We start from the raw sequence: 22,958 nt of genomic DNA on the forward strand, positions 1-22,958 counted from the left end.
CCACAAGGGCAATTAAGGGCTACGTGGGAGCACATTGCTCCCTAAATGTAAAGACTGCTCTTTTTTAACTAATTGTTCTACCTGGTTACAGGTCCCATACAGAGAGAAGAAACAGACAACCTGAATCACATTCAAAAGAGAGTCTCCACAATAGTGAGGGCTGCAAAACCAGGTGACATGAAAACCAAGAGAATGAATTACATAGATTTGTTTAACCTAAGGAAGAAAAGATTCTGGACACGTGAGGGCCGATTTTCATTCCTCAGAGCTCTCTCCTTTGGAGGCTTCTTTGTTTGGGCCCCACTTCCATTCTTCACATTCAGCAGTTACTGGGAGACGACCTTACCATGGCCTGTCCCTCCGTGTTCATCCCAATCGCATCCAGATGCCTCTCTGGCCTCATCTCCTAGTGTTCCTGTGTCCGGAATTGGTGGGTTCTTGGTCTCGCTAACTTCAACAATGAAGCCTCGGACCCTGGCGGTGAGTGTTACAGTTCTTAAAGGCAGCGTGTCCGGAGTTTGTTCCTTCTGATGTTTGGATGTGTTCGGAGTTTCTTCCTTCTGGTGGGTTCATGGTCTCCTTGGCTCAGGAGTGAAGCTGCAGACCTTCGCGGTGAGTGTTACAGCTCTTAAGGCGGCGCGTCTGGAGTTGTTCGTTCCTCCCGGTGGATTCGTGGTCTCGCTGGCTTCAGGAGTGAAGCTGCAGACGTTCGTGGTGTTATAGCTCATAAAGGCAGTGTGGACCCAAAGAGTGAGCAGTAGCAAGATTTATTGCAAAAAGCGAAAGAACAAACCTTCCACTGTCCGGAAATGGATCTGAGTGGGTTGCTACTACTGGCTGGGCAGCCTGCTTTTATTCTCTTATCTGGCCCCACCCACATCCTGCTGATTGGTCCATTTTACAGAGAGTGGAGTGGTCTGTTTTGACAGGGCGCTGACTGGTGCGTTTACAATCCCTGAGCTAGACACAAAGGTTCTCCACGTCTCCACTAGATTAGCTAGATACAGAGTGTCCACACAAAGATTCTCCAAGTCCCCACCAGAGTAGCCAGATACAGTGTCAGTTGGTGCATTCACAAGCCCTGAGCTAGAGACAGGGTGCTGATTGGTGTTTACAAACCTTGAGCTAGATACAGAGTGCCGATTGGTGTATTTACAATCCTTTAGCTAGATATAAAGGTTCTCCAAGTCTCCACCAGAGTAGCTAGATACAGAGTGTGGATTGGTGCATTTACAAACCCTGAGCTAGACAGTTTGCCGATTGGTGTGTTTACAAACCTTGAGCTAGATACAGAGTCCCAATTGGTGTATTTACAATCCCTTAGCTAGACATAAAGGTTCTCCAAGTCCCCACCAGACTCAGGAGCCCAGCTGGCTTCACCCAGTGGACCCCGCACTGGGGCCACAGGTGGAGCTGCCTGCCAGTCCCCCGCAGTGCGCCCGCACTCCTCAGCCCTTGGGTGGTCGATGGGACTGGGCGCCGTGGAGCAGGGGGTGGCGCTCGTCGGTTAGGCTTGGGCCGCACAGGAGCCCACGGAGGAGGGGGAGGCTCACGCATGGCGGGCTGCAGGTCCCGAGCCATGCGCCGCGGGGAGGCAGCTAAGGCTCGGCGAGAAATCGAGTACAGCGCCGGTGGGCCGGCACTGCTGGGGGACCCAGCACACCCTCCGCAGCCGCTGGCCCGGGTGCTAAGCCCCTCATTGCCCGGAGCCGGCAGGGCCGGCCGGCTGCTCCGAGTGCGGGGCCCGCCAAGCCCACGCCCACCCGGAACTCCAGCTGGCCCGCAAGCGCCGCGCGCAGCCCCGGTTCCACTCGCGCCTCTCCCTCCACACCTCCCTGCAAGCTGAAGGAGCGGGCTCCGGCCTTGGCCAGCCCAGAGAGGGGCTCCCACCGTGCAGCGGTGGGCTGAAGGGTTCCTCAAGCGCGGCCAGTGTGGGCGCCAAGGCCAAGGAGGCGCCGAGAGCGAGTGAGGGCTGCGAGGACGGCCAGCACTCTGTCACCTCTCATTCCCTTCACACTTGCACTGCTCTGGCCACAAGGACATCCTGGTGTTTCTTAAAGCCTCCAGGCACATTTCCTCCTGGGGTCTTTGCATTTGTTGCCTCTTGTGCCAGTTCTGCCTCTCACCAGTTATTCACTTACTTACTCCCTTTCTCCAGAAACTTACTCAATGCCAGAGTTCTTCCTATGGCCCTTCACTGTTTTGTTTTGTTTTCAGTAGATCATATCTGTTCCAACCTAGAAAGATAATTCATGTACTTATCTTTATTGTCTGACTTCCCTACTATAACTTAAGTCCCGTGAGAGTAACAAGATTTGTGTTGTCTCATGCTGAGTCCCAGAGCCAATGACATTATCTGACAGTAGGAGTCCCTCGTACATATATGTTGAGCAAAAGCAAACAAGAATGGATTTTATAATAGCCAGTGCTCTTGAAAGATTGAATTGGAGAGCTTGGGATGAAATGAGATCCCTATCATTGGAGGGGTTCAAGCCTAGGTTGGAACAACCTTGGTAGCGATTTTGTAGAGAGCATTCGAGAATTGGGTGGTAATTAAATGTGTTTTGTTCTCTTGAATCACTGACAGAGCCCAGTTTATAAATAGATGAAGGGTAAATAGCACCATATTTTACAGAAGCAATGCCCTTCCTGTCTGGATCTCAGACTCTGCAGCTAACAGAAAGTACCTAATTGCCTTATGAGTTGGATTTAAAAATAATTATTGATTTGATTAAATATTTATAATTTATTTAAATGCATGTTAATTATTAAATTATGCTTAATGACTAAATCATTTTGCTAATCAAATATTTTTTAATAATTAAAAATTAAACCATGCTGGCTTTATTTTTGATAAATCACAACATCCTAAACCTCATTTTCAGGGTCATATGATTTTAAACATAGACACTAATTACACTGGTGGCATTTTACATTAATTGTATGACCCAATCTTAAATTGGCATCTTAAAAACTAGAAATATAAATTTCACTGTCAAAATAAAAACAAATACAGCAATCAGGATGTGTGTTCTGTATGGTTATTATTTTACATATATGATTTTCTTAATGGACAGATAACACTTTTTTTGTTCGTTTTGAGACGAGGTCTCACTATGTTTCCCAGGCTGGACTTCAACTCCTGGGCTCAAGTAATCCTCCCTCCTCAGCCTCCTGAGTAACTGGGATTACAGGCACATGCCACTGTGCCAGACTAAACAATGCTCATTTTTAAAAGAATATCACACAGTAGGAAAATAGTCATTTCATCATATCTTTTCCTTAATTTTAGACCACTGAAATTAAGTATTTTTTTTTTATCCACGCTTTCTATGGGCAGTAATCCTTGGCTCCTTCTCCTATGCCCCTTCAGAAACATTGAATTTTACACATTTTTGAGTTCCTCCCAATTTAAAACCTTCAGCATTTTCTCACCACAAAAGGACACAAAGTCTTTTCTTAGTTTTCTGGGGCCTGGCTGTCATACTGTGTTACCGTATCTGCTCCATTCTCATTTCTTATACTTGAATCTCCATAAGACCCCTGTGTGAAAAGATAGGAAGGTATAGAATTTTAAAATTTTGGATTTTAGAATTTTCAAGTATCTTACATATCTGTAATTTATGGTGCGTGAATGTGTGCGTGCATGTGTGTGTGTGTGTGTGTGTGTGTGTGTGTGTGTTTTAATCTCATTCCAGTTAGTTAACATTGAAGCATCCTTCTTGGCAATACACATTCTAAGTCAGTTAGCCTTTGAAAACCTAATCAGAAGCCTACAGACTAGCGGTGCTATTAGAAGGATGTGCTTATGTCATTGCAGTCGTGGTTTCACAGGTGTGTACTTATCATCAAACTCGTCAAATTGTATAAATTAAATATATAGCTTTTCTTTGTATGTCAATCATACCTCGGTAAAGTGGTTTGAAAAAACGATTCAACTTTCTTCGTGAATGATCAACACTAGAGAGTTTATTAATTAGTATGAGAGTTGTTAGACATAATTTTTAAACTGGTGAAATGAACGGGTCCAAGAACTTGAATTGGCCAGATGGATTGTAAGGCCTCTGCCATTGCATGAACGCATTATAACAATCCATTGATGAAATTACTCTGTTTCAGAATAAATTTGTCAGAGTATATAAAAGAAAAGAGAACAGAAATGTTATTGAGCTAGTACAGTTAACTTACTTTTTTTTTCTTTACAGCTTTACTAATAAACATTTGAATATCTGACCAAATTTGCTCAGAGACTAGCTTTCTGGGAATATGACAGCCGGTAGAAAGACCCAAAGGGGAGACCTTGCACACTCACCAAACTCCAACCATTAAAAGCTACTTGTAGTTAACCCAAAATCTTTTAACTGTGAGCAACCACGTGGGCTAATGTTGATTAAGATATGCCCTTCAGATTCCCTGTGAACTTCGAAACTTGCAAAAATCCTAGCAGTTGAAGTACATGATAACTATCAGAAACATTTGCCAAGAAGTAAAAAAATGAACTATATGATTTACGCTATATTAAGTGAGCTATGAATTTTCTAAAATCAACTAATAGCTTATATGCAAGCAACAACTATCCTTCAAATGAATTAGGTTCCCAAAATGTAATTGTATATGGGTCATTGAAATTCAACACCTTGTATTCATATAAATATTATTGTGAATGGTGGTTAAGTATCTTATTTAGGCCATGAACCTGCCTAACATGATGTAAACAGAAATACTACAGCTACAAAGACAAATCAGCTCATTTAAGAATCTAACTACTAAATAATACCAAAATATGTAAGTCTTGATGAAGAAGAATAATTTTATTTATTTGAGTAATTGAATTCATTTATTTGAATATGAGCTTAAAAATATGGAGGATAGGATTTCTAAAAATTCTGGGCAAATTTGTGAGTTTAAATGTTGAGGACACTTAAAATTTTCTTTATAGAAAGTTTGAGTTAGGTTGCTTGGATGTTCAGAAAAGTAACAAACTAAGCAGGGAGATAGAAGTTCTTAAAATAATTGGATAAAACATGAAGAAGATGGGGAGGACTAAATTAGCTAAGGGGAATGCATATAATTATGGAAGAAAACATTTACCTGGGATGATATTAACTTAGCTATAACTAGAGGTAAAATGTTGAGAGAAAAAAATAAAAATGAAATAGTATGGTTTGGGTGATTTATCCTGAAAGAGAGAGAAGGGAGGCGATTGTGATAGAAAAAAACCTTCTAGGGAATAGATTTCTAACCTCATCACGAGGGCACGGTTCGCTGAAGACAACTGGTTGGTCCTTAGCAGCTACACCTGAGATCCCTGAGCCATGGGGCAGCAACATGCAATGGTTCTCACCCTTTGAATCTTCATTTCTATTGCTTTATGTTTATAAGTCACAGATTTTCAATACATCTGTAGCACAACTTATTGTCTGCTCTCAAAACCTCAACTTTAAAATCTGGGGTCTTGTCCAGGCACAGTGGCTCATGCCTGCAATCCCAGCACTTTGGGAGGCCCAGGTGGGTGGATCATTTGAGGTCAGGAGTTTGAGACTAGCCTGGCCAACTTGGTGAAACCTTGTCTCTAATAAAAATACAAAAAATTAGCCGGGCGTGGTGGCAGGCGCCTGCAATCCCAGATACTCAGGAGGCTGAGGCAGGAGAATCACTTAAACCCTGGAGGCGGAGGTTGCAGTGAGCTGAGATCACACCACTGCACTCCAGCCTGGGTGACAGAGCAAGACTCCATCTCAAAAAAAATAAGGAAAATAAAATAAAAATAAAATAAACATAAAATAAAATGAAATCTGGAGTCTTAACTTTTAGGTTCATTATTCATTTAATATAGACTTGAATTATAATTCATGAATCAAATTTCAATCATGTTCCTGAGAGAGTAACTAAACAATGCAAAACAAAATGAAGTAATAAAACCCTATTCTTACACAACTAACGTATGAACTAGTGCTAGTCCTTGCTTTAAAACATAATATAACACGGAAAGAAGGAAGTAACTTCAGTAATTGAGTACCTACTACGTGCCAGACACTGTAATGAGGATGTTCTTTATGCTGTCTGTCTTATTTAAATTCTGTGAAGACGATATTATTTTTTCTCCATTTTACAAGCAATGAAAACAAAAGCCAGATACATAATATAAAGCATGGACAGTCATAGAGTGAGTAAATGGTGGTTCTTGCATTCAAAACTCAGACTCTGTGCCATTATGCCATACCACTTCTCAATCTACTAAGTTCTAACAGGTATCATATCTAAAGGAGGAAAAGATGTGTCACACTTAACATCAGAAGACAGGAGAATCAGTCACTTTTTAGATTTATCAAGTTGAATTGCAGGAGGATGGCAGTTGTTGAATGCTGTGTCTGTCATTGTTGCCAAATACCATGGCCAGACAAAAGTTCCATTCTAAATGATCCAATCATCCAATAGAGATAGAAGCTGGTCCTGTCATAAACCAGGCTGGGAGCAGGCTCTACACCCGCTAACCAGCAGTGCCATTGTTGCTGATATCAAAGTTTCTATAAAGCCCATAAAGATCATGCCAATCTGAGAAATCACATGCTAAAGGAAATCATTAATGCACCAACAATTCTAGTATATTTTTTTTTCCAAGAGAAGGTGCTAACATCCAAAACATTGGCCAAATGCATTTCATATTTGTAACTGTCTTGTGTTTACTTGAGCACAAGTAAAATCTTTCCATATGTACTGACGGGAGCCAGTTTTGATTTTCTGTTTATCTCTGAGTTTGCCTTCTGGGAAAAAAAAAAGACAGGTTTCTTTTCTATCATCAAAGGTAGTGATTATAGGAAATCAAATCCAAAAGTTAATAATAGGAATTCATTGCTACAAGTATGTATTGAATGATGCTCATTCTGTCAACAAAGGTGTATTAAGCACCTATTCTATACAAATCCCTCTGAGGATACAAAAAGAAAAAGATGGACTGTGCCTTAGAGAATTCCAGACTGCAGAAAAAGAGATGAAGACATTCACACACAAATAACTCTAATAGTGGGAAGAAATAAAATCAGCCTCATAAAAGAAGTACACATAAAATCTAGCCTATTTGGTGTACTTGGAGTTTAAAAGGCAGTGCATGGGTTTTGGGGTCCAAAATATCTGAGTTAGAATCCTGGCTTGGACATTTATTATGACATTGGGTACACAATCATGCTGAATCTCAATTTCCTGTGTGTAAAATGGTTCCAGTGGCACCTATTTCACAGTCTAAGGTTTAAAGGGCAAAATGTATGCAAATTGCTTAATGCAGAGCTAGGCAGAAATTGCTGTTATAAAGCATGAAAAGATTCTTTTATGGAAAAGTTTCATGAAAGAAGTGACACTTAAACTGGGTCTTGAAGCTGGATGGAAGAAATGACATTATCAAAAGAGCAGAGATAGGAGAGCACACAGTACATTAAGGGAACAAAGCGGCTTAATTTCTTAGGAGTGGCATAATGATGCAGTAGGAACAGTGAGAACTAAAGCTAAAGAGATGGCTGGATTGTTAAGGTGTATTAATTTGAATGTTGGACTAAAGGACTTTAGACCTGGAAGTTTCCAAATGATAGCCTATAGGTCAAACCCAACCTGCCACCTGTTTTAGTATGGCTCATGCATAAGACGGGTTGTTATATTTTTTAAAAGTTTGGAAAAAAATAAAAAGAATATGAACATTTCATGAAATTCAAATTTCAGTGTTCATAAATAATGTTTTGTTTGAATGTAGTCAACTCATTTTTTAATATATTGTCTCTGGCTGCTTCAGCACTACAATGGCAGAAGACAGAGTTGAGTAGTTGCAACAGGCATCATCCGGCCCCCAAAGCTAAGGATATTGGCTATCTGATCATTTATGGAGCAAGTTTGCCAATCCTTGATTGAGAAGGTCTCTTGTAGGCAATGGGTCTACACTACAATTAAGGTTTTTGAACAGGGAGGTAATGAGCAAGGAGATGTTTACCAAATTAAATTTGCAGTTGAATTTGAGAAGAGAAGGTCAAGAGTCTGTGACACTTCAGATGCAGGTGATATAACTGGCCAAGAATGAGGGTAGGAAGAATAAAAAAGAAGGGGACTGTTGTATTATAGAAACACTTAAGGCAGCCGCAAGCCTGGTCATTCTCTATTTCTGTGTGTCTCATGTCAGCATTTTCAATTCAATTTAAAAGCCTATATTATATATTAAAATCTTTCATCCACAAAACACCTACTCAGAGAAAGAAAGTGGGAAAGAATTCTGTTTACCCAGGGGAAGAAAGGACCCTAATGGGCTTAGTGGCCTAGCTGGGAGCAGCAGGTTTATGATAATGGCCCAAAGCAGAGGGAGGATTGGGAGATGCTCCAAGAGTTGAATTGTCTGGCATATTTCCTTCTGCATATAAACTGGTACTAATCCTCTAGGCAGACGTGGTATCCTGGGCTGCCACCATCCATCTTTTTTCCCCATGGAACAAAAATGCTTTGTGAAAGGAGGATATTTATCTCTATGGAACTGGTATAACCCTAGATGAGGAGTGAGTATTTTGGGATCAGGCGCTCAACTAAAAAGAGCCCAGTAACTAGCCCAGCTCATCTTTGTTCCAGTGTTAAATATTTTAGAGACACCAGACACAGGGGCAGCATTAAATACAGACCATTATCAGTAGCAGACAGAAGAAATTAGAGAAAGCTTATCAGACCGAGGTGTTTTGTTTACCACTAGTCATTTAAAAAATTATATTTGCATTCCATACCTTTTGGAATTTTTAAGTACAACAGAGTTGCTTTCCCATGAACAAATGATAATAATAAGATGAACTAAGTGTCACATCAATATTTATTATTGCACAGATATTTTTATTATATATTTATAACACGATTGACTTTCCTTCAAAGGTTTCTGTGGGCATAACATGCATGTGCATTGGATATCCTCTTACTTTCTGGACTTCAAATGCTGCATTTAGTTATTTTGATAAGTGCATTACTCTAGAACAAGTAACTTAATTTTTTTGTTGGGTAAATGTGGTTATCATGCAGCTCTGGAGGTGTAGTTGTACAAACTGATTGCTGGATTGTAAGGAAAAGAATTATCGACTGGGCATGGTGGCTCATGCCTGTAATCCCAGCACTTTGGGAAAGAATTATTGGCTGGGCGTGGTGGCTTACGCCTGTACTCCCAGCACTTTGGGAGGCCGAGGTGGTGGATCACCTGAGGTCAGGAGTTCAAGACCAGCCTGGCCAACATGGTGAAACCCTGTCTCTACTAAAAATACAAAAAATTAGCCGTGTGTGGTGGCATGCACCTGTAGTCCCAGCTACTTGGGAGGCTGACAGGAGAATTGCTTGAACCCCAGGGGGGCAGAGGTTGCAGTGAGCCCACATCGCGCCACTGCAATCCAGCCTGGGCGACAGAGCAAAACTCTGTCTCAAAAAAAAAAAGAAAAATTATCTGGTGATATGGCAAGTGGTTTTCTAAGTTGCAGAAATTAGCCTGTGGTTTTATATTTAATTTGTTCAATGCTGACTCTGCCATTTGCCAACCATTTGACTTTGGGCAAATGTAGTGTACTCACTGATTGGCTATTTAGCCGCCATCCCCCTTCTTCCCTCCTACAAGCACCCAGTGTTTGTTCACATATGCATCTGTCATGACTCAGAGGAAAGTGGTATCATTTCTAGCTCTGGGAATGGCCCTTATTGTTAGCATTCTAGCACATATGTCCTTGAGCAGCAGTTATTGATTTAGGAGTCATCTTATAACCTGCGTTGTCCTAGACATCTTGAAGAGAAGAACAGATAGTTCATACCCAGGAGGAAGGAGCATTCTTCCCTATGCTGGACAGGAGAAAGGAAAGATTTAGCTCAGATTGTCACCATGACCCATGTGTATGAACATCAAGGGATACAGGTATAAGATGAAGCTGGCACTTAGGTCCTTGTATGACACCTAGGGAGAGTTCAGCCACTGTACTCTCAGTTGCAGGTGATAACGAATATTTCCTTATGGATGGAGTTTGAATAGGGGCTTCAGTTACTTACAACCAAAGCATTCTAGTGGATGGTTAAAATGCCTTAAGACTAAGCTCACTCATCTTTAAGTATCTACTTCATAGGATTTTTTTGAGGATTGATGGAGAGTAAATAATTGATTTAGCAAACACTCTATTTTATATTCCCCTTAGTAGACAATATAGTTCTCAGACCGAATATTAGATACTTCATCATATTTGTTGATTCACAGTTTATGTGAAATCTACTCTATTTGCCAACTCTTCACTGGCTTTGTTTTGATTTTCTCTGTGTTTCTACATTTGCTTTAGTACGTTTACCAGATTAGAGAATCATGGTGTCAGCATCCGCTTTGAGAAATGAACACTCCCCTTACTTCCCAAGCCTCTTTCTCTTTTACTGCTTCTTCCATCTTTAAAATAAGATGGAAAACTAGGAAACAGAGGTTATATTATTTTTCTAGCTCTAGTGAAAAGGCTAGTCATATGAGAAGATAATTTTCACATTTTTTTTTGTTTGTCAGTGAGAATATTTTTACTTAGCATTGCTAGTTAGCAGCAGAGTTAACCCTACCCCCTATTTTTGGTCTTTAGTTTTGTTGGTCTGTTTTCCCACCTTATGGGGAAAATAAACCAATAAAACAATTCTGTGAGGATAGCTCTCACAATAAGTTATTGTTGGTTTTACTAATTTGCAGAATGTGGTTTGTTGAGAGGGATATGTTAGTCTATCGTTTTTAGTCTCACCCTCTACATTTTTGAGCTGTTGTCTTTATTTTTTTTGCATTAGCATTTCTTTATTAACCCACATCTGGGGCCTGATGGCGGGTGTGTAATTGTAATAATGTTATTACGTTTACTGGTGTAGGCCACAGGAGCCCAGGTGGCACAGTCTTGGATGATGTCTTTAATTGCTTTGTTAAATGATATATATTTTTTAGACCTTTCATTAAGTAAGTTCTCTTTGTGATGTGCTTGTAACAATTGCCCTAGGCCAGTAGATTTCAAAGTGCTTTCACTCTAGGGATGTTTAGAGGTGCTCTAGGGAGTCATAGAGAAAAATAAGGTAGAAATCAAAGTCGTGAGGCACCGGCTGGTGAATGCCTCCTAAGAACATATTTCAGCAGAGCCCTCTGATAGTCATCACCAGGGTATTGGAAGTAGATTGAAGATGAAGTATCTTTGCTAGTCTGAGTGTAAAATCATTTTTAAAAGTGCTATGGTCTGAATGTTTGCATCCCCTCAAGATTTGTATTTTGGTATCATAGCCCCCAAGGTATTAGGGTATTAGGAGGTGGGGCCTTTGAGAAGTGAGCAGGTCATGGGTGGAGTCATCATGAAAGGGATTAGTGCCTTTATAAAAGAGGCCCAAGAGAGCTGTCTTGTCCCTTCAGCCATGTGAGCACACAATGAGAAGATGGCTTTTATGAATCAGAGAGGGGGCCCTCACCAGACACTGAATCTACCAGCACCTTGATCTTAAACTTCTCAGCTTCCAGAACTGTACTGTGAAAAATACATTTGTCTTGCTCTTAATCTACCCAGTTTATATTTTGTTATAGCAGCCTGAACAGACTAAGACAAAAAGGTATCTGGGTGTCTGATCAAAGTGAAAGCAAGAGTTCTAGATGGATAGCAAGAGCTGGAGAGGTCTGACTGTGGAGTTCTGACTGCAGGGGACAGCATCTAACCCTTTTTCAAAATCGGCTTTGTGACAGGCCCTGCACTAAGCCTTTAAAAAACAGTATTTCATTCAGTCCTTATAACTACCTATGGGTGGGTATTATCATCTCTCTTTAAGTTTTGGAGACGTAAACCAATGGGTTCAAGGTGATTCTGCTTGTAAATAAAGAGACAAAGGATAGGACTGCCAGGCTTCAAAGCTACAATATGAGTTTTACAAGATCTCAACATGTTCCAAATATGAGGACTGGAGTTTGCAGGCCTCTACTCTCTGGAGTGAGAAATGAACAGGAGCAGTGTAGGAAATTGTACAATGCAATGGAGATATAAGGCACTATAAGGAGTTCAACTTAAACAGAGAAACAACTTGCTTATCTAGCAGGATTTAGAGGCTAAGAGTATTCTCAATTTCTTTTCTTTTAATATCAGTGACAGAAGCATGCTGATGTCAACTGGCCAAGTCGTTTTTGTCTATTTGGTTATTAAATGCCACATCCATGGTGAATGCTGTCATAGGCAATAACCTGCAATTAAAAGATAATCTCATATCCTGCCCCCCTGACATAGTCCCCATTCTCATGCCTCTTCTCCAGACAACTTAGGATCTAATATTCCAATCTTTCTCCTTCCAGACCCCCGGCACACCAGCTATTCCATTTGCTTTCCTACATGTCCATATATTTCCTTACTTCAGGCCACTTCTCTTCTAATACAAAGTGGATGTCCAGGTTCATTGACCAAAGCTCTGTTCATTGGGCTAATTAACCTCATTACTATTCTCAGTGGCACCCCTCAATGGGTTTTGAGTTCAGCACCAATCCATTTTCATTATTCCACATACGAAGCCAACCCATCACTGAACCAAGCTTGGTCCTTTTCCTCCTTTGTCAGCTGGTCATAAAGTTTGAACTGATGAAAAGGCACCAGTGTAACAGTGGTGGGTAACATGGGAAAATGGGCCACATCCTCTTGGAGCTTACTTATACCTTATGAATATATTTGTCCCGATCCTGGATATACCATCCCATCTTATGATGGATCACTGTTGGCCTTCATGCACTTAGGTCTTTGTGAATCAATCTGGTGGAACCCAGCTCATGATAGGCATCTCTAGCCATATGGTCAGTCGATATCCCATGATTAGTTGCATGGTCTCTATTAGAGCCCATTAGCACACCAAGAGGTGCTCTTTGAGTGGTATATATTTCTCTGCTGCAAGTAGTCCACACAAAGTGGTAGACTTGGAATAAGAGGTCAAAAAGGGTCAAATAAATGAGCATATGAGAATATATCTCCCTATACCAGCAAACCAACTAGTTTATTATGATTTTCAGGAAGGCTTAGAGCTCATCCTACTTACCAAAGTAATAAGAAACATGCTAGTGATACGGGCACCAGCATCACTTGACAAGCTCAAAGGTGTCTGTCTTCTAAAAGTTACAGTTCTCATTAAGGGGTGCTGTTACAGAACTGGAATCCTTAATATCAATAAATATTGAAGTATCCCCAAATAGTGGAAGCCAGTTAATAGCACTTAAGCATAAGAGGCAAGGTAAATGTAATTACTATTAGAGGTAGCCAAGGGAACCTGACCAATAGAGAGTTATGTGATGGTTAATAGAACACAGTGCTCCTAGTGGCAAGAGTGATCGGCAGACAAGTGAGTTTCTTAATTTATACCATTACAATAAATCATGAATTGATAATCAGAAGACTGAAGACAACTCCACCAATTAAAAGTAATGGTTCTTTACCCCATTTCTGGTCCTGAGCCAGTTCTCAGTCTTAGACTACATTAACTGAAGGAGAGGCCAGGTCCTCCAAGGACAGACATTCCAACATCAGAGTAAGTGTATACAGTAATGATTCCCTTAGTTCCACAGTATAGGGACCTATGGCCTTTACTTGAGTAACCATACATTGAAGAAATTGGAATATCCAGAACTTCTGAGGGCTATTAGACATATCGCAGCATATGGTACGATCATGGTTTATTGTTACAGTGAAAACATATGAGGACGAGGCTCTATATGAAGTCTTAGCCTGGGTTTATCTTCGTGGCCCCATCCATTTCAGAATGTATAATTGCAATGATCATACTTGGTAGTTGACAGAAATTTCATAATTCTTTTTTAAAAACATAATTTCAACTTTTGTTTTAGATTCAGGGGGTACATATTCAGGTTTGTTACTTGGGTATATTGTATGATGCTGAGGTTTGGAGTACAATTGATCCCATCACCCAGGTAGTGAGCATAGTACCCAATACACAATTTTTCAACCCTTGCTCTACTTCCTTCCTCCCCACCTCTAGTAGTCCCCAGTGTCTATTGTTGGCATCTTTATATCCTTGAATACCAATGTTTAGCTTCCACTTATAAATGAGAACATGCAGTATTTGGTTTTCTGTTCCTTCATTTATTTGCTTAGGATAATGGCCTCCAGCTGCATCCATGTTTCTGCAAAGAACATGATTTCATTATTATTATTATTATTATTATTATTATTATTATTATTATTATTATTTTGAGACAGAGTCTCACTCTATTGCCCAGGCTGGAGTGTAATGGCACAATCTTGGCTCACTGCAACCACCATCTGCTGGGTTCAAGCGATTCTCCTGCCTCAGCCTCTCGAGTAGCTGGGACTACAGGTGCACACCACCACACTAGGCTAATTTTGGTATTTTTAGTAAAGATGAGGTTTCACCATGTTGGCCAGGCTGGCCTCGAACTCCTGACCTCAGATGATCCTCCCACCTCAGCCTCCCAAAGTGCTGGGATTACAGATGTGAGCCACTGCACCTGGCAGATTTTATTATTTATTTTTCATGGCTGTGTAGTATTCCAAAATGTCATACTTCTTTCTTGACCTGTGGTATAAGAGCTATCATGCTGGAAAAGGGTGAGTGGAAGCTTATGACCTCCCCTCTCCCTGGACAAATTAGTAAGTCAAAACCAATATTGCATCTCAGGAAGAAAGATTAATTCCTCAGTGTTTGTAACTGAGAGCACAGAAAAAATTCTCTAGGAAGCTCTGGAGCTTAGGCAGACCCTTCAGAGTTGACATAAATTGAGGCAAGTCGGCCAGGTGTATGTATTTCCGTACCAGCCACTCATTGACTATAGACAGTTCCTTGGGAGGGAGTGTAACCTTAAGTGAGACAGTTTCTTGTGGCCAACGTCAATTCCCAATGAAGAAGAGAGCTGTGAATTCTTCATGCTAATATTCCCAACAGCTAAAGGCTAGGTGAGTTGGCCCTGCTAAGGGAATCTGGGTGCAGCAGCAAAATGTATTTTACATAATGTCCTTCAATATATGCTAATTGCATTCCACCAGTGCTAGTTCATGATATATGAGCCAGTGCTGGTAGACAGGAAGAAATGGGCTCAGAGTAACAATGTCTGAATTTCCATAGCAATTTATTTAAGCAACAGTTGGTACTTGTATATGCCTATTAGATACCTCAGGAAAGTAAGAAGGCTCAGACGCTGAGTTGGGATCTAGGGTAGAACAATAGTGGAGCAGGTAGCTACAGGCATACACACCTCTGGCATGCCATTTCCATCTGACCTCTTCCTGCTCTAAACTGGAAAAGAAGCATGGATCTTGTTTACATCTTTTGCCTTTATTCCTCATGTTCTTTATCCCAAAGCTATCCCTGGATGTGGAATGAAACTAACAACTTAAGGTAGTCAAGAATTACGCCTCTAGAGTCAGACAGAAACAGATTTTGGTGTTAACTCTGCCTTTTCCAGATGGGTGAACTTGGCCAAATTTACCAAAACCTGTAAGGCTCAGTCTTCCTATCTTAGCACTGCTGTGAGAATGATTTGAGTTATACTTATTATGGCATATAGGCCATGATTAGATTTTATTAAACATTAGTTTTATTCTTTCTACTATTATTAACATAACTGGGCAATTATTTTATAGCCTCTTCCTCTCATTATGTGACTCCAAATAAAATTGGGTTAAATAGAATTCCCAGGGCAGATTTAAAGAGCAAAAGTAGTTCCCAGAGAGCAACATATGAATGAGGAAAGAGTAGTCCACCCTATTTGTATAGAATGTTATCATAATCCATCATCATCATTATCACACTTACATAGCCTTGTCATATACCAGGCATGGTTCTAAATGATTTTAAAATGTTTTATTTTATAATCTTAATCACAAAATAATGAAGTAGAAACTATAATTAAATTCCTTTTTAAAATTGAGATGTTGAAGCATCTAGAGATAAAGTAATTTGGCCAAGATCAGGTATTTATTAAGAGGCAGAGCTGGGATCCAACTAGGGCAGGCTGGCTCTGGAGCCCATATAGTTTATGATGCTGGTGGAAGAGGTTAAGGGGTTCACTGTCAATGTCACTGTGGACACTGCCAAGTGTCTACTCTTAGTGCAGGGATCTTCCACCATGTCTTGCAAAATAATTACCTCTGAAATTCTTAGCAAAAGGGCTGTGGGACCAGAAAGACAATGAATGTGGTGGGTCAGGGACAGTTCTGTGTGAGGCCTTGATGACAATCCTAACTGATCAAATAACCTCATATTTTTTTTAAAAAAGTTTTTACTGTCCTAAATAATAGCTCAAGTAAACCAACAGAAATGAGTCCAAATTTATCCTTTTTGAAAAATTACTCCTTGGGACCCAGTGTCTGAAGTGACTTCAAGGCCAAAAAGCGTGCAAGCAGCTGTGTCTTTCTCTCTATATAGGAACACTATTTTTAATTCCCCCCCCTTTTATTTCTTCCCTCATGAAATAGTTCTGGTGTCTTGGTCCATTTTGTGCTGCCACAGCAAAATGCCCAAGACTGGGTAATTTACAAATGACAGAAATTTATTTAATAACAGTTTTGGAGGCTGGGAAGTCGAAGCCTCTGATGAGGATTTTCTTGCTGCATTCTCATGTGGTGAAAGGCAGAAGGGCAAAAGAAAATCAACTTCCTGTGTAAAGCTCTTTTTTAAGGGCCTATAATCTCATCTGAGGGAGAAGCACTTATGGTTTGATCTCCTCTTAAGAGCTCTACCTCTTAATACTATCGCATTGGCAACCCCTGAATCTTAGAGGGGACACATTCAAATCATTGCCATCTGGGAAGAAAGAGACTGAACAAATTGTTACATATTTGATGAATTAATAAACCACTATTGTCTGAATTGATATAGTAGAAAAAATTTGTATGCTTGACAATGTACAACAAGGAGATGGTAGATCTGGGGAAGTCTTCCTCAAGGAAGTAGCATTTAAGCTGAGATCTGAAGGTTGGTAAGACATTACTAGGTGAATTCACCCATATATTGGAGTGAGAAAGAGAGTGGTATTTTTGAGAAAGTGCCTAGAATAGCTGGAATCTAGAGATGAAAAAACAAGGCCGGGCGCGGTGGCTCACGCCTGTAATCCCAGCACTTTGGGAGGCCGAGGCGGGCGGATCACGAGGTCAGGAGATCGAGACCATCCCGGCTAAAAAAACGGTGAAACCCCGTCTCTACTAAAAATACAAAAATTAGCCGGGCGTAGTGGCGGGCGCCTGTAGTCCCAGCTACTCGGGAGGCTGAGGCAGGAGAATGGCGTGAACCCGGGAGGCGGAGCTTGCAATGAGCCGAGATCGCGCCACTGCACTCCAGCCTGGGCGACAGAGCGAGACTCCGTCTCAAAAAAAAAAAAAAAAAAAGAAAAAACAAAACACATCTATTTAGGATGGAAAGAGGAAAGAAATGAGCTTATATCATACCACAAGGAGCCTTTGGAAGTCATAAGAGTTTTTACCTTTATTGTAAGTGTTGGAAATCTATGAAGGTGTTGTAAGTGAGGGGTTACTTTAAAAATATATCAGATTTAGATTTTTAGATTTTAACTATAGCTGCAATGTGAAGAATAGCCTGGAAGGAAACTAGAGAGGCTATGGAAGCCAAGTGAGGAGGCGATTAGACATGAACAAAATGACTTGGGTTACGTGGCATGGGCAAAAGTTGAGAGATTCAATAAACAGAGATTCAACTTGATGATTCATTAGAGATAAAGCACAGGGAGAAGGAGGTGCCAATTCCAGCTCCCAGTTTTCTGGCCTGAGTAACTGGTTAAGAGATGGTGCTTGTTACTGAGATCAGTGGATAGGAGACAGAAGCAGATAGGAGGAGTAAATCATGACATTGTATGTCTTTCTCTATGAAAGAGATTGCTGTTAATGAGAATTTCCATGTATTCAGTTCTACATTTTATTTGGATCTTCTTATAAAAAAGATATTCTGGAGCCTAAAAATGGAAATATTTTAAATCTCACGCTTTACGGAAAATGGTAACATTTTGATGTAACAGGAGTAGAAACCATAAGTCATAAAATCACAGATGTTTATGACAAAAATGTTTGTATTCCCAAAAATTCCATCCTTGGCTTTCTGTTCTACATGTCTTCCTGGATAAGCATATCTCCTCCCATGTATTCATTATCACTTGCATTTCAGTGATTCCCAAAATGCTTATCTCTAACTTGAAAGTCTATTGTTAGATCCAGATTCTTCTATCAGCTGTCTACTTGGATGTTACTCAAAGTATCTTAACCTTAGCACGTCTACAAATGAACAAATTATCCTTCCCCATTTACTCTTCTGTGTTTTGTATGCAGGTGAAATGATTCGCCATCTACCTAAGTCCCTACACCAGAATCCCAAAGAATTCAAGACTCACCTTCTCTATTTCACCAACTACATCTAATCAAGTCACCAAATCTTGTGGGATAAATTTCTTTATTAATATTATTATTATTATTATTATTATACTTTAAGTTCTAGGGTACATGTGCACAACGTGCAGGTTTGTTACATATGTATACATGTGCCATGTTGGTGTGCTGCACCCGTTAACTCGTCATTTACATTAGGTATATCTCCTAGTGCTATCCCTCCCCCCTCCCCCACCTCAAGACAGGCCCCAGTGTGCGATGTTCCCCACCCTGTGTCCAAGTGTTCTTATTGTTCAATTCCCACCTATGAGTGAGAACATGTGGTGTTTGGTTTTCTGTCCTTGTGATAGTTTGCTCAGAATGATGGTTTACAGCTTCATCCACATCCCTACAAAGGACATGAACTCATCTTGTTTATGGCTGCATAGTATTCCATGGTGTATATGTGCCACATTTTCTTAATCCATTCTATCATTGATGGACATTTGGGTTGGTTCCTAGTCAACTTTCTTAAGTATGTTTTATCTTAGCTCCCTCCTTTCCATTCCTATTGTGATTATTATGTCCAAAGTCTTCACCATTTATCACCTTAATGACAATGAGATTTCCCACTGATGGTCATTCCATATGAATTTCAGTATTTTTTTTTCTATTTCTGTGGAAAGTTCTATGTGATATTGATAGGAATTGCATTGAATCTGTAGATTAATTTGGGTAGGATGGAGTTATTGACAATATTAAGTCTTCCAATCCATGAACACTGAATGCCTTTTCATTTTATTGTGTCTTCTTTCATCAATGTTTTACAGTTTTTATTATGCAAATCTTTAACCTCCTTGGTCAAATTTATTCATAAGTGTTTTGTTATTCTTGGTGCTGTTTTAAATGGGGTTATTTTCTTGATTTTATATTCAGATAGTTCACTGTTAGTGTATAGAAATGTAACTAATTTTTGGCCAGGTGTGGTGGCTCACGCCTGTAATCTTAGCACTTTGGGAGGTTGAGGTGGGCGGATTGCCTGAGCTCAGGAGTACGAGACCAGCCTGGGCAACATGATGAAACCACATCTCTACTAAAATACAAAAGAAATTAGCCAGGTGTGGTGGTGGGAGCCTGTAATCCTAGCTACTCAGGAGGCTGAGGCGGGAGAATTTCTTGAATTCGGGTGGCGGAGGTTACAGTGAGCCGAGATTGTGCCACTCCATTCCAGCCTGGGTGATAGAATGAGACTCCATTTCAAAAAAAAAAAAAAAGAAATGTAAATAATTTTTCTTTATTGTTTTGTATCCTGCACCTTCACTGAATTTGTTTACTAGTTTAAACAGTTTGTTTTTTTTTTTTTCTGGAGTCTTTAGGGTTTTCTACATTTAAGATCATGTTGTTTCCAAACAGTGACGATATGATTCTTCCTTTCTGAATTGGATGCCTTTTATTATTTTATTTTTGCCCAATTCCTCTGGCTAGGACTTCCAGTACTACTTTGAATAGAAGTGGTAAGAGAGTGGTCATCCTTGCCTTGTTCCTCACCTTAGAGGAAAAGCTTCTAGTTACTTACCACTAAGTATGATGGTAGCTCCGGACTTTTCACATGTAGCCTTTATTATGTTAAGTTACTTACTGTTTATAGTTTGTTGAGAAGTTCTATCATGAAAGGGTGCTGATTTTTGTCAGTGTTATTCTGCATTTACCAAAATGATCATATGATATTTTTCCCTTTATTCTGTTAAATTGGTGTATCACATTAATTGATTTTCTTATGTTGAACCATCCTTGCTTTCCAGAGATAAATCCCACTTGGTTGTGGTGCATGATCCTTTCAATTTGCTACTGGATTAGGTTTGCTAGAATTTTGTTGAGAATTTTTGCATCAATATTCATCACGGATATTGACCTATAGTTTTCTTTTCTTGTGGTGTTTTTGTCTGGCTTTGGTATCAGGGTAATGCCAGCCTCATTAAATGGGTTTGGAAGTGTTACCTCTTCTTCAAATGTTTAAAGAGTTGAGAATGATTAGAATTAACTTTTCTTTAAATGTTTGGTGGAATTCACCAGGGAAGTCATCTGAGTCTTGGCTTTTTTTTTTTAAGGGAGGTGGGAGATTTTTTTATTACTGATTTAATCTCCCTGCTGGTTATAGGTCAATTCAGACTTTCTATTTCTTCATGATTTAGTCATAGTAGATTGTATGTTTCTAGGAATTTATCCATTTCCCCCAGCCTATACAGTTTGTTGGAACATAATTGTTTATAGTAGTCTCATAATCTTTTTATGTTTCTGTGGTATCAGTTGTAATGTCTCCTTTTTCATTTTTCTGGTTTTATGTATTTTTATGTATTATTTTTCTTAAGTAGTTTCACCTAAGAGTTTGTCAATTTTGTTTATGTTTTCAAAAGAAAAAACTCTTAGACTCATTTTTTCTATTTTTTTCCCTTTTTAAAATTTATTTCTGCCTCAGTGTCCTTTTTAATAGTGTTTGCCTATGTATGATCGAGTAGTGTCTTGTTACACAACCATGAAGTGGCAAAACCAGACCTTGAACTCAGGTGTATCTAATTCCAACCACTAATCTATCTGGATTATTTTCACTCAGGGTGGAACAAGCTTGAAAACTAGGAGGTCCAGTCAACAAGTTAGCTGCGATGCATTCAAGCAGAGTAAGTACAGAGAAGGCCATGAGCAGGGTCAAAGGTTTCTAACAATGCAGAGTGTGTGTAAGAAAGAGTCTGTGTATAGTAAAGAAAGAAAATCACTAGGCCATATTCTCTCAAATCAACTTATTATGTTATTATTCATCTTATTATTTTTTGAGACAGAGTCTTGCACTTTCACCCAGGCTGGAGTGCAGTGGTGTGATCTCAGCTCACTGCAACCTCTGCCTCCCAGGTTCAAGCCCTGCCTCAGCCTCCCAAGCAGCTGGGACTACAGGCACCCGCCACCATGCCCGGCTGATTTTTGTATTTTTAGTAAAGACAGAGTTTCACCATGTTGGCCAGGCTGGTCTTGAACTCCTGAACTTCAGTGATCTGCCTGCTTCGGCCTCCCAAAATGTGGGGATTACAGGCATGAGCCACTGTGCCCGATCTTCAAATCAGTTTTTGAACTTGATATTTCAAACTTGTGTCTAATAGATTTGGCCAAGTTCTGTTTTAGGATATCTGGAGAATGCTGGGATTCCTCACTTTGAAGAGCTTTACAGTCTGATGTATTTCTCAGCATTTGAGTATGATCTCAACACGTATCTCTGGGGTGAGTCTATGGAATTATAATATTACCTCTGATTGTTATGGGAAGCTCCCAGCACAGTGCACGCTGTACAGCAAGCCCTCAATTTGTATTTGTTCAATGAACATTGTTTTTAATTTACACAGGCTTGCCTGAAAGGGTAGGTGATGGTAGGTAAGGCCTTTTTGGTGGGGAGTGGGTACACATAGATATATAATTTGGTCTCAAATTTTCTTTGCTATTTCACTTTAGGTGTTTAGTCAGTCTAGGTTCTGGAGTGTAATTGGCAGCACCATGGGTAAGAGAGGGATAATTTCTTACATTGGCAGAAAGGCATTAACTAGCAAGTAAGAGAAAAATAAGAGGACGAAGGACATTGGGAGCAACCTTAGGCTATCTCTAGTTTGGAAAACTCAATTTGTTTTGCAAAACCCCTGACGATACACTTTCAGTTTTAGGCTGGAAACCCCTTATGGAAAGTGAAACCAGATAAAAATCAAAAGAGCTATAGATTCTGAAAGAATGAGAGAAGGTGCTTATTTATTAACCTCTCTCAAGAAATACTAATATTTTGAAATGTTTTCTGAGGTTGGCACTGTTTGGGAAGGTAATTGAAAATGTTGTGTATAAATGCACATAAATCAAGATGTATTTCTACTTCTGGGATGTTTTTCAATGATGTTTACACATTTCAATACTTTAAAATTGAGGTATTATTATTAAGATACACAGTTCACTGAGTTTTTACTATGTGCCAGGCCCTTTGCTGGATACCTTATAAATGTTAGCTGTCTTTATTTAATTCCTCAGATTAACTTACTGTCTTGAATATGATTTCCCTCAATTAGCCTTCTCCATAGTAATATCTCAAGCCTGCCTTCTATTTGCCAACCCCACTTCACTCTTCCTTGTATGCATTTTGCAGAGATTTACTATGTCCAGCTGCACATCTCAACTTTCACATTTTATCTCAGCACCCTACACCCACCTCTCATTATCCATAGCTACACCCCAGTGACATACCTAGTACCTTAGTCATGCAATCTATTTGCCAAATGAATGACCATTTAAAAACCTTTATCTTCAACACTCCTCTTTTGTTGCAATTCCTACTTCCCCTTCTTACTTATTTGGGAAAAAGAAATTCCTGCTTTCTCCTCTTGGGGACTAAATGTTCTACAAAGTTTGGGTAATTCTTCTCTACCCAATAGGCAGCCTCAGAAAATGATTGGTCAGGGTAGAGGCATTATGGGAATTTTTTTGAAGTATAATCTGAAAAAAAACTTATAGAATGGGTAGGAGGCCAACAGGAGAGCTAAGCATTCATTCACTGCAGGAGTCCAGAGGAGAGGAAGTAAAAAC

At 39.9% G+C, this 22,958-nt stretch overlaps 1 long non-coding RNA gene across 4 annotated transcripts in view; it reads left to right on the forward strand.

The window, feature by feature from the left end:
• Window positions 1-22,958, forward strand: part of LOC105375751 (uncharacterized) — a 463,156-nt gene that overhangs the window by 155,319 nt on the left and 284,879 nt on the right. For 3 of the 4 annotated variants that reach the window (NR_188069.1, NR_188072.1, NR_188070.1), the window contains one exon: window positions 92-480. This is a non-coding gene — a long non-coding RNA (uncharacterized LOC105375751). Of the gene's footprint in view, window positions 1-91; window positions 613-22,958 lie in introns of all 4 variants that reach the window. The other variant, NR_188071.1, reaches the window with a different exon arrangement.

The sequence above is a fragment of the Homo sapiens genome, chromosome 8, assembly GCF_000001405.40.
Source record: "Homo sapiens chromosome 8, GRCh38.p14 Primary Assembly".
NCBI classification, from domain to species: Eukaryota; Metazoa; Chordata; class Mammalia; order Primates; family Hominidae; genus Homo; species Homo sapiens.